We start from the raw sequence: 14753 nt of genomic DNA on the forward strand, positions 1-14753 counted from the left end.
GAGGCAGAGGTTTCAGTGAGCCGAGATTGTGCCACTGCACTCCAGCCTGGATGACAGAGTGAGAGTCTGTCTCAAAAAGAAAAAAAAAGAAAGTGAAGCACACAAGTATCTAGGGTGCATGAGACACTGCAGTGGGTGCTTAAATCTCATCTGTGAACAAAACGAATCCCTGCTTTTGTGTAACTCATATTCTTGTATGTTGCAAGGTGATACAAATGAAAATTTATGATATATTGGCTTTCCTATTGTGAACTTCTGGGGAGATTTTTTTTTAAACGTAGATGCATTGATTAATTAAATCAGAATCTCTTCAGGTTGAGCTGGGCTTAGACTTGCTTTAAAATTCTTCACATGATTCTGTTGTCCAGCCGGAGCTCAGAACCATCGAGCTAAACAGTTAGACATAAGCAGCTATAAATGACCATGATTACCAGAACTGTTTAGGAACTAGCTTTCTAAGAGGTCTAAAAAAAAAAATACCATATACTTAAAGTGAAGTTCAAATGAAGGTTAGTGATTCTATAAACAAAATTCAGGCTTTAGTTCTGACAAGTCAAGTAGTGAGAAAGAAATGAAGAAATAATTTGGCCAGTAGCGACGACTTTGTTCCTCTCTTTGCTGTTGATACACAAAATAGTTCTTAAAATATAAATAGTATATCCATTAGGAGATTTGTTTTCAGAAATAAAACTATTTAAATGATATATGATTTTAATCATATCATTACTCACTTGGCAAAATTTTTTCAAAGTAAATCGCCAATGCCAGATAGAGGCAAGTGTCAAATGCCAACATGAAATTTGTTGCTACAATGAGATTTGAGCCGTCCGATGGATGAGGAAATGCATTAGAATTCAAATCATAGTCCAAGTGTAAAAGCTGAAAATTAAAAAGTAATTAATTAAGGGAAATTAGGTATAAGATACATTTTAAACAGTTAGGTTTAGCATAGTAATGAAATGACTACTTATTGCCTCATACTGAGAATAGAGTTATATAGGGAGACTGCCTCCTTTATGGTTCTCAAATCTATGCCTTGGAAGGCATGGACATATGAGCAACTAGAATGCAATTTAGTAATTGCTATGATAAAAATATGTTCCAAATGAAATTGAAACATTAGGAGGAAGTAGGGAAGTATGGGAAGAGATGACATTTGAGATCGAACTTAGATGAACTTTTACCAAATAGGACACAGTCAAAAGGTGTGGTGATCCATGTAAATTGGCGGCATGAGGGAGAATTTCTGGGCAAAAGGCACTGCTGTGTTTAAGTAGAACCAGAAGTGGGCTTGTCTATGATGTTCAAGTTAATGAGCTCTTTATAATTAACAATCCTTTTGTTAAACACTAAATAATGGATATTTAATGGTTGACATTTCCATTTAGTTAGAGGGAAGGCAAGGGGAATTCAATAAGAATCACATAAACAGAAAAGACATTTTATGAATAGAAACATAATTTACTAATGAATTTTCCAGATGTTTTAAATTTTTAATTTAATTTGATTTAATGGTTTTTAATCACGTATTCTCTTCAATTACTAGGTAAAAACATGAACTGGAATAGTTATTTATAATTAGATTTGCCACATGTCCATATTTAATTAATAGCCTAAGAAAATACTTTATATTGCCTTTAAATAATTGTATGTTGATCCTCTTTTTTTCACTTTCCAAATGTCTTATTTTGCTGGGCTAAATAATTTCCAAGCTTTTAAAAGTTCTGTCTTTGCAACTTTACAACAGCCTTCGCTAGAATTTTAAGCCTTACAATGCTGAGTTTGTAAATGATTACAGCCTATGGATTCCAGAGGGACAGATGTTTCAGAAATGCCATTAATAGACATTCAGATGGCATCTCACCTGGGCCATTCCAAGCATGAAGGCAAAGGGACTAAGCAAGCTTAAAATCCACTCCAAGGATGCAGGAAGGTGTCTGTACAGTGATGTGAACCCCAGACACCCCCAAAAGACAGTGAGGAGGAACACGACCAGGCCGGTGAGGAAAGATTTCTTTACCAAGATGCTCATTAAGAAAGCCAAAGCTACCTAAAATGAGAGAAGATCTAGTTGGTTTATGTTTCTCTAACATTATTACTAGCATAATAAAATAGATATACAAAATTATAGTTATTTTGTGTATGTAACAGTTGTATATTATAGTTATTTTGTATATAACATACAAAACTATGCTCTGCAAATTGCACTAAAAATTGACATTACAAAACACCTCAAATCAAATTGTACCTGTTTATAGATTTTTCACATGCAAACAGAGTAGGTAGAAAAAAAAGGAGGCATACAGAGTAATCAGTCGGAAACAAACAATTTTTAGGCTATAGGTGGATGGAAAGATATTTAATTCACTAACTCACCAAAGATAATCCATACAGGAGAAAGAGGCTGAAGACTACCATGAAGCCAGACAAAATGATAAACTGGGTAGATCTTATAACAAGTGCCAAGAAAAGGGCCATAATGAAGATGAAACCAGCATAGAGCAAACCCCAGGAGAGCCTAATGTGGAAACAAAATGTTATTTTAGTATTTTATGTTCACTTGAAAAGGAAGACCTGAAATGGATTCTAAGATAACTCTTCATTCACTTATTCATCCATTCATTCTCTCTTTCAACATTTATTTATTGGGTGTTCTAAGATATATAAATACAAGGTAAAAGTTTTGGGCAGAATTCTTTAGAATTAGGAATATTCTTTGGGAATTAGGAATTGTTTTTCCTAAAATTGATTTCAGAAATACATTCACACACACATGCACATTGTTCTGGGGGGTGGGGGCGGTGGGGGGGGAATTAGGTTTCCAGTGTAATAGATTTTGGATCGAACATTTTATTTGCTGCATTCTTGCTCTGTAACCTTGGGCAACCTCTGTAACCCCTCTATTATTCCTTTATTTCTCTGGACACCAGGAATAATACTACCACTGAAGACTAAATAAGATGATGGCTATGTAGGGCACTGTCTTAATACAGGGTAGCCCCTCAGTGAACCTCAGACCCTTCTCTCCTCTCTGGAGTCTCTCCAAGTTCAGGACCATCACAAGCTTCCTCAGAGACAAGAAATTCTTCCTTATGTGTAATTTGGTCATGTCACTCCTTCCCCAAAAGCTGTTGTCATCTTTCTCTGGATGTGTTCACTGAAAAGTCTACATACTTGCCTTTAGTTCCGTTCATTGTTTTTGTTAAGAAAGATTTTTTTTGAATCCCATTCTTTTATGTCAGAATAATTCACTTTCCTTTCCTCATCAATTTCTTTTCTTTTGTTTTACAATATTCTTTGAAAACTATAATGAAATAATAATTTTAAAAAACAAAAACAAAACAGCTGCAAAGCCAACACAATAATAACTCACACACATAGCAATTAATATGCATTGAAGAAAACTTAGCAAACATTAAAGCATTTTATTCTCCCAATAGCCCTATTCAGAATACCATTATTTTCCTCATCTTATTGATAGAGAACCTAATGAACAAGGGTGTTATGTAACTATGTTTCAAGTTCAGGGGTTTTGGCTCTATAGTCTTTAGATTTCACTGCTCTGCTACGTTTCCCTCCAGTATTAATTCAAACAAGAGGTCAATATTGATGTATAAGATGTTAATACTGGAAGGAACTCTTCCAGACTCCTAATTTGTTGCCCTATGCACAGCCCATCTGCCTCCCTAGCCTCTCTGTTATTTAATGTCCTACTCCCTGTAAACATCACCTCCATGCTCTTTCAGTCAATTATTCATAAGTTCTCACACAGAACCTTGTCCATTCTTGGAATCACCCAACCTCTGACATTTTAAACCCACACTACCCAGCCCCTATTCACCATCCTGTTTTGCCAGCTCATTCCCTCAGGCACACCAAGCATGTTCCTCAGTCTCAAAGGAGTTCCTGGTCCTCGGCTTCTTTTTCCCTTTCAATCCCCTCCTAGCTCACATCTCACCTCTGTCTGGCACAGACACCATTGTCTATCTTGTTTACGCCTCTCTTGCCATGGCCATTCCTCATTACACCTTCTTCACAATCAACCAATAACCTAACCCCAATCTTCTTCCTTAACTCAGAGAAGCACAGTAAGACGCAGCCTCAGCCTGGCAAACATTACACCAATGACAGTTTATACCATTCATGGGGATAAAGGATTTTTATATTTCTTTCCTTGTTACTAAAGAATGTTTAAAAGTGGCATTTTCTTATTCATGGCAACACATTTTTTTAAATGGACATTGATGTGTGATAGTTGTGACATTATTTTTTCTGTAAAATTCTGCATTTGGCTCCTTATTTGTTTTCTCAAAGTTTTTTTATTTACTTTTTATGTTTCTTTAAAAGATTATCTTCCTCCTTTCTAAAAAAGTCAATATTATTCGTAATGGAAGTTGTATTTTCTTAAATGTTAGCACATTCTGTCCCCTTTTATCTTATTTCCTATAGCAGTTCCTTCACAGTACAGTGAATCTGAAATAGATTTAGATAAAATTGGGTCAGAGATTGTTAAATATATTAAATGACCAGCCTCTCTACTTAGTCCTGTAAAATTTCCAGAAGCAAAATACATTTCCTTTTTTTTTTTTTTTTTTTTTTTTTGTCCATCACTGCAGAGCATTTCTCCCCACTGAAATTAACTAAGTGGAAATTTGTTCATGATCTGAAATTATTCTGTGTAGGTATCTCTCATTTGTACCCCTTGGTTGTGGAGAAACAGGTTTTAATAAAGACGCATTGAAGAGGCCGGGCGTGGTGGCTCGCGCCTGTAATCCCAGCACTTTGGGAGGCCGAGGTGGGTGGATCACGAGGTCAGGAGATCGAGACCATCCTGGCTAACACGGTGAAACCCCGTCTCTACAGAAAATACAAAAAATTATCCAGGCATGGTGGTCGGCACCTGCAGTCCCAGCTACTTGGGAGGCCGAGGCAGGAGAATGGCGTGAACCTGTGAGGCGGAGCTTGCAGTGAGCTGAGATCACGCCACTGCACTCCAGCCTGGGCGACAGAGCGAGACTCCATTTCAAAAAAAAAAAGATGCATTGAAGATTCCCAGTTTTCCTGAGTTCCTCCGTTTATTTATTTGTGCTGCGTTTGACTCACCAGAACGCTGAATCCCGAAGACCCATCATTGTCATCAAGGCCTTCATCCTTTTCCTCTCTCTTGTGACATTAACAGATGCATAGTAAATGAATGAGGAAAATGAAATAATGCAGGAAAAAAGGTACAAATCAGTTATAACTCCTGATTGACCAATGAAGGAATGCATCTTCATATTTTTTCCAGTAACTGACATCAGCTCCTCCATCACTGAGTGATTTGTTGTGATCTGAAGAAAGGCATTAATAAGCAAAATTTGTACGTTAATGAACAGCATGCAGTTTTCTTTTAACCATCTATTTTCTTGTGGATGTATGATTGGCCTATTGGGATTTGATACTAACCTAAATTTCCACTTCTATGTCCTGTCATTGACCTGCTGGGACCTCGGAGTCCAGGCATTTTGAGTTACTCACCACTCTCAGAATTTACTGTGTGTTTCATTACCTCCCTGCCTAACATTACTTTATGATTTGCTTGGCATGGCTTTTCTCAATTTATATATTCAGTAAGCCACCCCTCATCTCAAGCTTCAAGCTGGAATGTTATTTCAATTAGGCATTCTTCCATGGCATTCTAAGGCTGAGAGGTTTTTACTCATTTACTTATGAGGACCTGATTTATAGTTCTGTAATAGTCTACTTCTGTTCTAATAATTTTCTTATATTCCTGGCTTCCCAACAAAGTTGAGTCCATGAATGAGATACTTTTTCTTCTGTTTGTATCTACATTCCGTGGTATATAGTAACTTCAGTAAACTTCAGAGTGAGCAAAGGAAATAACAAGGCTATCCACTTATATTTTCTTCCATGAAACTTTTGATGCCTCTAATATCATTAACTTGCATTAAACATTAGTTTGCTTTGAACATTTTGTACTCACTTCTATAATAGCAGCATTAATGGCAGCTTGAAGAGCCACAAAACCTTCCTTCCAAAATACTGAAACTTCACAGTAAACATCTTCATTTGTTTCATAACAATGAGCTTTGTGAAAAAACAAATCATAACTATCATTACATCACTATCTATATTATTGAAATATGATTTTAATACTGATTATAGCAAACAGTGGACTTTACAATGACCCCAAATTCCAAATGTTCTTATTTTGACTCAAAGCTTATGAAAACATAAATTATAACAATGATTCTCAAAATGAATCAGGCAGAATCATGAGGTGGAGCACTCTTAGGAAATGTTTTACATTAAATTATAACACTCTAAGCTTTCTCATACCGTGTCCTGTGCTTTTCTGCTGATGAAGAATTTTGTTGGTCTCTTCTCTTTTCTGATTTGTATTGTGAAAACTACATATTTTAATGTTTTTCAAAAGTTCACAGAGCCTAACATGGATTGAGAGACACTAAACTAAAGCTTTTTCTAACACTGGATATAACACGGGCATAATAGGCCAATGGAAGTTCAAGTAAGATTACTTACTACGCTTAAATCATGCCAATCAGAATATCTTTTGAAGAAAAGGATTTATTCAAAAAGAGCTGTCAGTCCATTTAATAGTAAACTATATTAAAGAGATATCCTTGAATAAGATGAATTAAAATTGAGTATAGGAATTAAATGCATATTACATGAAATCATCTTGAAATATTTCAGATATACGAATGATATAAAAATACAATAAACACGCATGGACTCACTACAAATTTGCAAAATAAATGCATCATTTCAAATACAATTAGAATCTCTTGTGCACTTCCCCAGCACCAAGTTTCTAACTAGCTAACTGCTTTCCTGAACGTTATGTATATATATATGCCACTACATATCTCTAAACTATATATGTAATTTAAAAAATTAAACTCTACTAATAATTACTATGAACTATGTTCATTTGTTCCATATTATGATTTTGAAATGTAAATAAATTGCCTCATTTAATTTTTTCTTCTTTTTTATGGTTATGGAATCCCATTGCAGGAATGTAAATCAATATATTTATCCATTCTCCTGTTGATAACAATTTGGTTAGTTCCTTTTTTCTTTTTGTGATTACCAGAAAAAAAAATCTGCTGCTATAAAAATCTGTATATATGTCTTCTTGTAAATATATCTGTATTGGTCAGGATAGTCTCTTATATGTTACAGTAATAACCCCTAAATCTCAGTGATTTATCACAGTGAACGTGTATTTCTCACTCAGGCTACAAATTCAGCAGAGGTGTTTGGTAGGAGGGTTGAGTTGTACTGTCTGTATTATACACAACTCCTTAGTTTGCAGAAGCAGGTGAGAAAAGATGAAGAACTTATACCTGCATTTAAATGCCTTGGGTCTAGCTATCTTATTATGACTACAAAAAGTAATTATTCTATGTCCTCTGGAAGAAGAGGAGAATAGGCTGCAAATCTTTAACACAGGTATGAGAGTTTCACTAATAAGATTTCTATGATGATGAGTTATAAGTTATGTGCACTTCAACTTTAAGATAAAATTTCTCAATTTTTGTGGAATTTACAAATTTTGTAAAGTTGGATAGGTGTTCTCTTTGCTACATATCCTTGTCAATACTTCGAATTGTTCTATTTGCTAATTTTTGCAAATCTTATGAACATGAAGTGATATAACATGTGGTTTCAACACGCAGTTTCCTGGTTGCTAATGAGGAAAAACACCTCTCCTAGTGCTTATTCTTGATCTGTGTTGTTTTATGAAATTCCTATTAATGTCCTTTTGTTATTTTTCTATTTTTGATCTTTTTCCTATTTATTCAAAGTAAATATTTACATATTCTGGAATTAATTTTTTGTTAGATTTTTCTGTTATAAACACTTTATCACCTTTTTTTTTTTTTTTTTAGAGATGGAGTCTCACTCTGTCACTCAGGCTGGCATTCAGTGGAGTACAGTGGTGCAATCTCGGCTCACTGCAAGCTCTGCCTCCCAAGTTCAAGCAATTCTCCTGCCTCAGCCTCCTGAGTAGCTGGGACTACAGGCAGACGCTGCCACGCCTGGCTAATTGTGTGTGTGTGTGTGTGTGTGTGTGTGTGTTTCAGTAGAGACGGGGTTTCACCATGTTGCCCAGGCTGATCTCGAACTCTTGAGCTCAGGCAATCTGCCCGGCTTGGCCTCCCAAAGTGCTAGGATTACAGACATGAGCCACCACGCCCGGCCACTTTATCACAATTTTTGCCTTTATTTTTCACTATCTCTATGGTTCTTTTGATAAAGGGACGTTCTTAAAATTTATGTCTAGTCAAATTTATCAATATTTTAATTTATGGCTGAGTAGTATTCCTATATATATATATATATATATATATATATTATCTTCTTTATCCAGCCCTCTGTTGATGGACACTTATGTTAATTCTCTATCTTTGCTTTTGTGAATAGTGCTGCAATAAACATATGAGTGCAGGTATCTTTTTAAATATAATGATTTTTTTTCCTCTGGGTAGATACCCAGTAGTGAAGTTGCTGGATCAAATGGTAGTTTGTTTTTATTTCTTTGAGAAATCTCCATACTGTTGTCCATAAAGGTTGTACTAATTTACACTTCTACCAACGATGTATAAGTGTTATCTTTTCTTCGCATCTTTGCAAACATCTGATTTTTTTAGACTTTTTACTAATAGCCATTCCGACTAGGGTAAAATGGTTATCTCCTGGTTTTAATTTGCATTTTCTGATAATTAGTGATGTGGAGCATTTTTTTACGTTGGTTGGTTGCTTGTATGTCTTCTTGTGAAAAAAGAAGAATTCAAACAACTCAAATAACTGCACTGAAAAATAGGCAAATGGGTTATTTGTTTTGCTTGTTGAGTTCTTTGAGTTCTTTGTTGAATGCATAGTTTGCGATTTTTTTTTCCATCTGTAGGTCATCTGTTTACTCTGTTGATTGTTTCTTTTGCTTTGCAGAAGTTTTTTTTAGTTTAATTAAGTCTCGTTTTTCTATTTTTGTTTTTGTTGTATTTGCTTTTGAGAACTAAGTCACAAATTCTTTTCCTAGCCCAATGTCCAGAAGAGGTTATTCCTAGTTTTTTCTTCCTGAATTTTTATAGGTTCAGGTCCTATGTTTAGGTTTTAATCCATCTTGAGTTAATTTTTGTATATGGTGAGAGATATGGGTCCAGTTCTATTGTTCTGCATAAGGCTATTCAATTTTCCCAGTACAATTTATTGAAAAGGATTTTTCCCCCAGTGTATATTTTTGTTGACTTTGTCAAATATCATTTGATTGTAGGTATGTGGCTTCATTCTGGTTTCTCTATTCTGTTCTATTTATGTACATGTCTATTTTTATACCAGTATCATGCTGTTTTAGTTACTATAGCCTTGTAGTATAATTTGAACAACTGAGCTTATTTGAAGGGAAATTTGTTCTATCTTATCCATAAACTACCTTGTTTTCTTTTAACAATCATATATTCCATATAATATCTATGTGTGTACATATGAATACATATTTCATTTACATATATAAATATATATCTATGTAAATGTATGTAGATAACTATATATAATGACCACTTATCGATATGTTCTTATGCCCAAAAATGAATTTTTTTTTAAATGTTGAGGGACATGCATACATCATTATGACAGATAGTGATGCTCTAATTTGGCATACTAACCTCTATTCCCACACATGACTTATGACATAATTGAAATAGAGAGTAGTGAAATTTTAGAGCCATAAAATTACCTGTATGGTCCTTGTGCTCCTTCTTTGCTGGCATTCCATGTCCTAGCAAGAACTTCAAATGATATGAGTATGTATTAGTAAAGGTGACTCTTACTATTTCTTCAGGATAATTTGCTGTGAATTCTTTAATACTTTCCTCATCTGGCAGTCCCAAGACCTCTTTACCTTTTGTTACAAGAAGGAATATTATTGTTAGTAAATTACTAGGAGACACAACTTCAGGATGTCATGTTGAATTGCTTTTACTAGAGTTTTCTATGGAAATAAAACATTATCAAGTATTAACTTTTAGAAAGTTAGACTAAAATGTTGGGTGGGAGAGAAATTTCTAAAGTTCCATCTAGATGCAATCAGAAGAAATACATGAAAATTAGTTATTTTATTTTCATATGTTGTGATTACTGAGCCAATTTCAATCACATACAATGTCCTACTATACCAATTAAACTGTTCAAAAATAGTTATCATTCCTATAAATTTGAAATGGTAAATATAGAGAGATAGATATTTAAATTGCAATTAGGCACTGTTTTGTATCAGGTGGACATACCTATACAAATTTATTTTTCTTTAATAATCCTGATGGTATGGTTAATAAGCTAAAAAAGGTGATAAATTTAAAAACATGTTAAGAAACTATGTTGACATCACTGAAAGAATCCCTCTTTTCTGTAGGTATTTTGTCTGAGGCCACATGGATGTTTTATTAATACTGAAAAATGAGACAAAATACAAGAAAAGTTCTGGATTGGGGTGGAAGTGTTGAAGATGAATGTAGAGGGAGCAAGAAGTATGTATTTTGATAGAATTAATTTTATTCTCAAACTTATGTCATCATGAGCAAATTCCTTACCCTTTGTTACTCAATTTCTATATTTGTAAAATAAACTTAATAACCATTATTATTATTATTATAGAATATTAATAGAGTACAGAATATAGAATAATATCATTACAAAATATTCTCTTTTTACAGAATACAGTTTTTGTAGAAATATACCATATTGTAGCATTTAATGAATATTTATTATTATAATTGCATGTGGTTTTGAATGAGGTAATGTCGAGAAGCACAAGTTCCTGACATTGGGTCTTGTTATGGACGTCTGTGAAACAGCAAGAGCAGACACGTCTCAGGGCCGTTTAGGAGACTGGACCTTAGGTGGATAGTTCATATCACATTATAATCTTGAATCAGAAGTGGATTCAGTGTTGGTAGGTAAGATGCACAATATAGGCATTAAAATGTATGTGGAACTAATGGTGTGATGCTTGGTGAGGCGCCGTTGGAAAGCATATTTTGGATAACTCACAGGAAGGAAAAGTCCAACATACTCTGGAAACTCTGGCCATAGACAGTCCAAATAGCAAGTGCATGAACTGGATTACTGGATACAGAATCCAGTGAAGGGGTCAGAATCCAGGCATAAGATTAATAATTACTTAAGCTTGAGTGGAATTTGGACGGAAGTTGACAAAGAAAGGAAAAAAAGAGGTTATGCAGGCTTCCAGTGACTTGGTGGAGCAAGATGCATAGGTTCTCCTTAGAAGAACGCCCTTGGTGGGAGTTATGTTGCTTAAAATGAATAGTCAGTACCTTCTAAGTCAAATTTTTATATTCCTTTAAAAATTGGGATGTAATTCACATACCATAATATTCACCCTTTTAATAATTTCATGGTTTTTAGAATACTCACACAGTTGTACAAACTCGAAGTCACTTTAAAATTATAACTCAACTCATAAAAAATTATTCAACTCATCAAATTAAATCTCACTTTACATCCAACCATCAATTCTGATTTGAAGCTGCTGCCTGATACTGACATCCTGTAGATATAGTCTGACTGTTCCTGTACTTCTACCTCCATTTGTTAATGAGAATCTTCTTTTAGTATTAGCGTAGTTGGCTTTCAATCAGTTAGGTTTGGTATAATCCAAAACAGAATAACTAACTTCTTATTAACTTTATTGACAAATACATTGCTAGCATTATTTTTGTAGTTATTCTGGTTATAACAACTAAATATTTATACAGAAAAATCATGCCCATATGAATGTGGGTCCGATCCAACAGGACACACCATTTGCCATTCTCTACAAAATTCTTAGTAGCCATTACATTTTTACTAGCTGATCTAGAAACCATCCTCCTGTTACCATTACCATGAGCATCTCAAATGAACAACTTAAAACTTATACTCACTATAGCACTAATTTTAATCTTTACCTTAGCCCTCGACCCAGCCTATGAATGAATGACAGGGCGATCACCACAGATTTCCCTTTGAAGTATGCATTTATAGTTGTAAAGGACATATGTTGTTTTTATCTGTTGACATCCAGTTCTTCTAATAAAAACACACTATGATCCATTTGGGATACTTCCCTTCCTCTGCTCACATATCCTGTGGTTTCAATGTGGTTCATGACCTGGGAACTCAACAAGTGGGCAATGAAAATACCGCATATCCCCTATCCAAAGAGATTAGTTCTCGGTGAACCAAGATCAACACTAACCCAAAGTCACCTATTTGTTCCTGTGGATAAAATCCTTGAAGTTATTGTGAACTATCAGAAATGATCTGTAATCTTTTCACTGGAGTTGCTAATCTGGGAGGGCTTAAATCTGGAGAGTCTGCAGACCAACTCTGCCTCTGGGAGAACCAACCTGTGAATGAAGCCAGCACACAAAGCTGTATATCGGAGGGGCAGAGATTTACTTCTGTTGGTGATAAACCTCTAATCTGCCTTGCATTAATACTCTGCTCTTTTAAGCTAGACAAAAGATTCTTTTTCTTAAGACAGATTGAGTTGGGCCTCTTACGCTCAACTGAAATATTTATGAAAAATATAGTATTATTTTTTATAGATCATTGTTAACTAGTCACCCTACTGATCTATCGAACACAAGGTCTTATTTCTTCAAACTGTAAGAGTTTATTGTTGCATAAATTGTTAATCTTATTTTGCGTTTGCTAATAATAAGGCTAAGAGAAGCTGATGGCTTTCAAAATGCACTCCAGACACATATGTATCACAGCAGTTCTGAGTGGACTCTTAGAACTACTTTTAATCAAATGTCCTCTGACTCTAAGTCTAGTTCTCTTGCCTTTGTACCAGGCTGCATCTCCTCTAATTTCAGAGCATTGTTGTAAAAATGATTGTTATAAAAATGATCTTTACCCTTCAGCTTTAAGGTACTCGTTAAGTTAACCTTAACCTTAACTCAACTTAACAACTACTTAACCTTAACTCGTTAAGTACCTTAATGCTGAAGGATGAAAATCTGAAATACAGAATACTCAAAGGAATATTCAAATAGAGCAAGCACATGTTTTTGGTGTTAAAAGGTAGGGTTAAAATTCCTATAATCAAATTTAGGAAAAGAAGAGACTGGTTTTTCTTTGTCTATAAGAACAAGAAAACACTACAGCAACGATTTCATTTTGGTGACAATGCTTTCAGAGTCACATGTCAACATATCCCTAAACACTACTGCTCTAAATGTGCACCAGTCTGTATAATTTCATGCTTCCTCAAATCCTATACCAGATCAACAAGTTTCTTTTTGAGAGACTGCGCACCCCAAATGGTAAACCCTTGTTTGGCAAGCAATACATGTAGTTTTAACTTAGATACTGAGTGGTGAGATGTTACTTCCAATAAAGGGAAGACACATTCCCAATTCATGTACTCCAGAAAGTTTAATTATCAAACTGAAATACAAATTAAATGTATAAATCTGCGGTCAAATAAACCAAATATTCACACCAGACATTCTTCTTAAGTAACTAGAAAACTTACCTGCCAGGAAGGGAGTAGAGGCTACTTTATTCATTATCTGTTGGGTCGTGTTGGTGACAGGTGTGTATACAACAGAAAATCTGGATTCATTAAATGTATCTACCCGTCCCAGGTCCATGGTAAGCAGTGAAGAAAAATCATTTACTTGATGACTATGAGGATATATATACAAACAAAGTAGTAGGAGCAATGAATTCAGCCATTCCTATATAATACAGGAAAAAAGATAAAGAAAAGTCTTATTTAAAATTAGTCATCCACAATCATTTTGTCATAAAGTTTGCCTCTTTTTTACTTTTCTAACTTCAATATATCCCATATTATAAACTGTTTAAAGTCTGCTGAAAGTCAATGTGTTTTAAGAGATAGTTCCAAGGCATTGCTAGCTTAGTAATGATATACTGGTTACATGCCAAGATTCTGGAATTTCAAACTCAACAGTATACCAGTTTGTAAGGGCATTCTGATAATTCTAATAATAAGATAGTATCGGAGGGATAGTATCTTCGTTAGTTATAAATCCTGATCACATGCGAACTCCCAATAAGAAATCACTTTATTTCCAAAATGCATGATCTTAGGGGAAAAAACTTTACGATGTATGTATAGTGGAATTCCAATTTAGTTAAAAATGCTACCTAGCTATATCGATCTGATTTTTAAAATATACCAAAGTTTAATCAAGATTTTTTATATGGTAAGATTATAAGAGCTAATGCTAATTTTCTTCTTGGAATTTAATACAATTCCAACTTTTCTACTTTTTTGAAGAAAACTAATTGTTTCAAGAAGAGAAAAAGATCTCAAAGAGAAAATGCCAGTTACCCATTGTGGTGGGTTGGTTTGTTTACCATATCTTTGGAATGTCAGTATCTTAACCCTAGTCTCCATGACTGGGGACACTAGTAACAAATGTGACCATTGGCTTTTAAAACATGTATTGATTTCTCAATTGCTACCAGATTCAGTGGTTTCAGACCTCAATTTATGAGCCCATGTCAACTGAAATATCTTCAAACAGATTCATGGCCTGAAGAATAGCGTTTTCTGTTGTATAAACGTTGCTGTATTTTAGTGTTTTTGGTGTATGTGTCGGGGGAGATACACATGGCATAGATAACTCCCAGGCAACACGTATTTTCCTATCATAAATAGAGAATAACACGGATATTGAGTCATA

General features: G+C 34.5%; 1 protein-coding gene across 8 annotated transcripts in view; it reads right to left on the reverse strand.

Annotated features, from left to right (window-relative positions):
• Positions 1-14753, reverse strand: part of ABCA8 (ATP binding cassette subfamily A member 8) — an 88104-nt gene that overhangs the window by 59896 nt on the left and 13455 nt on the right. For all 8 annotated transcript variants that reach the window (NM_001375771.1, NM_001375772.1, NM_007168.4 and 5 more), the window contains 7 exons: positions 13574-13778; positions 9767-9931; positions 5984-6087; positions 5104-5330; positions 2377-2518; positions 1865-2050; positions 732-879 (listed from right to left, as the gene is read on the reverse strand). In NM_001375771.1, the coding sequence (NP_001362700.1) occupies positions 732-879; positions 1865-2050; positions 2377-2518; positions 5104-5330; positions 5984-6087; positions 9767-9931; positions 13574-13691 (1090 nt within the window). In that variant the 5' untranslated portion in view covers positions 13692-13778. The remainder of the gene's footprint in view (positions 1-731; positions 880-1864; positions 2051-2376; positions 2519-5103; positions 5331-5983; positions 6088-9766; positions 9932-13573; positions 13779-14753) is intronic.

Source organism: Homo sapiens, chromosome 17 (assembly GCF_000001405.40).
Source record: "Homo sapiens chromosome 17, GRCh38.p14 Primary Assembly".
Classification (NCBI taxonomy): Eukaryota; Metazoa; Chordata; class Mammalia; order Primates; family Hominidae; genus Homo; species Homo sapiens.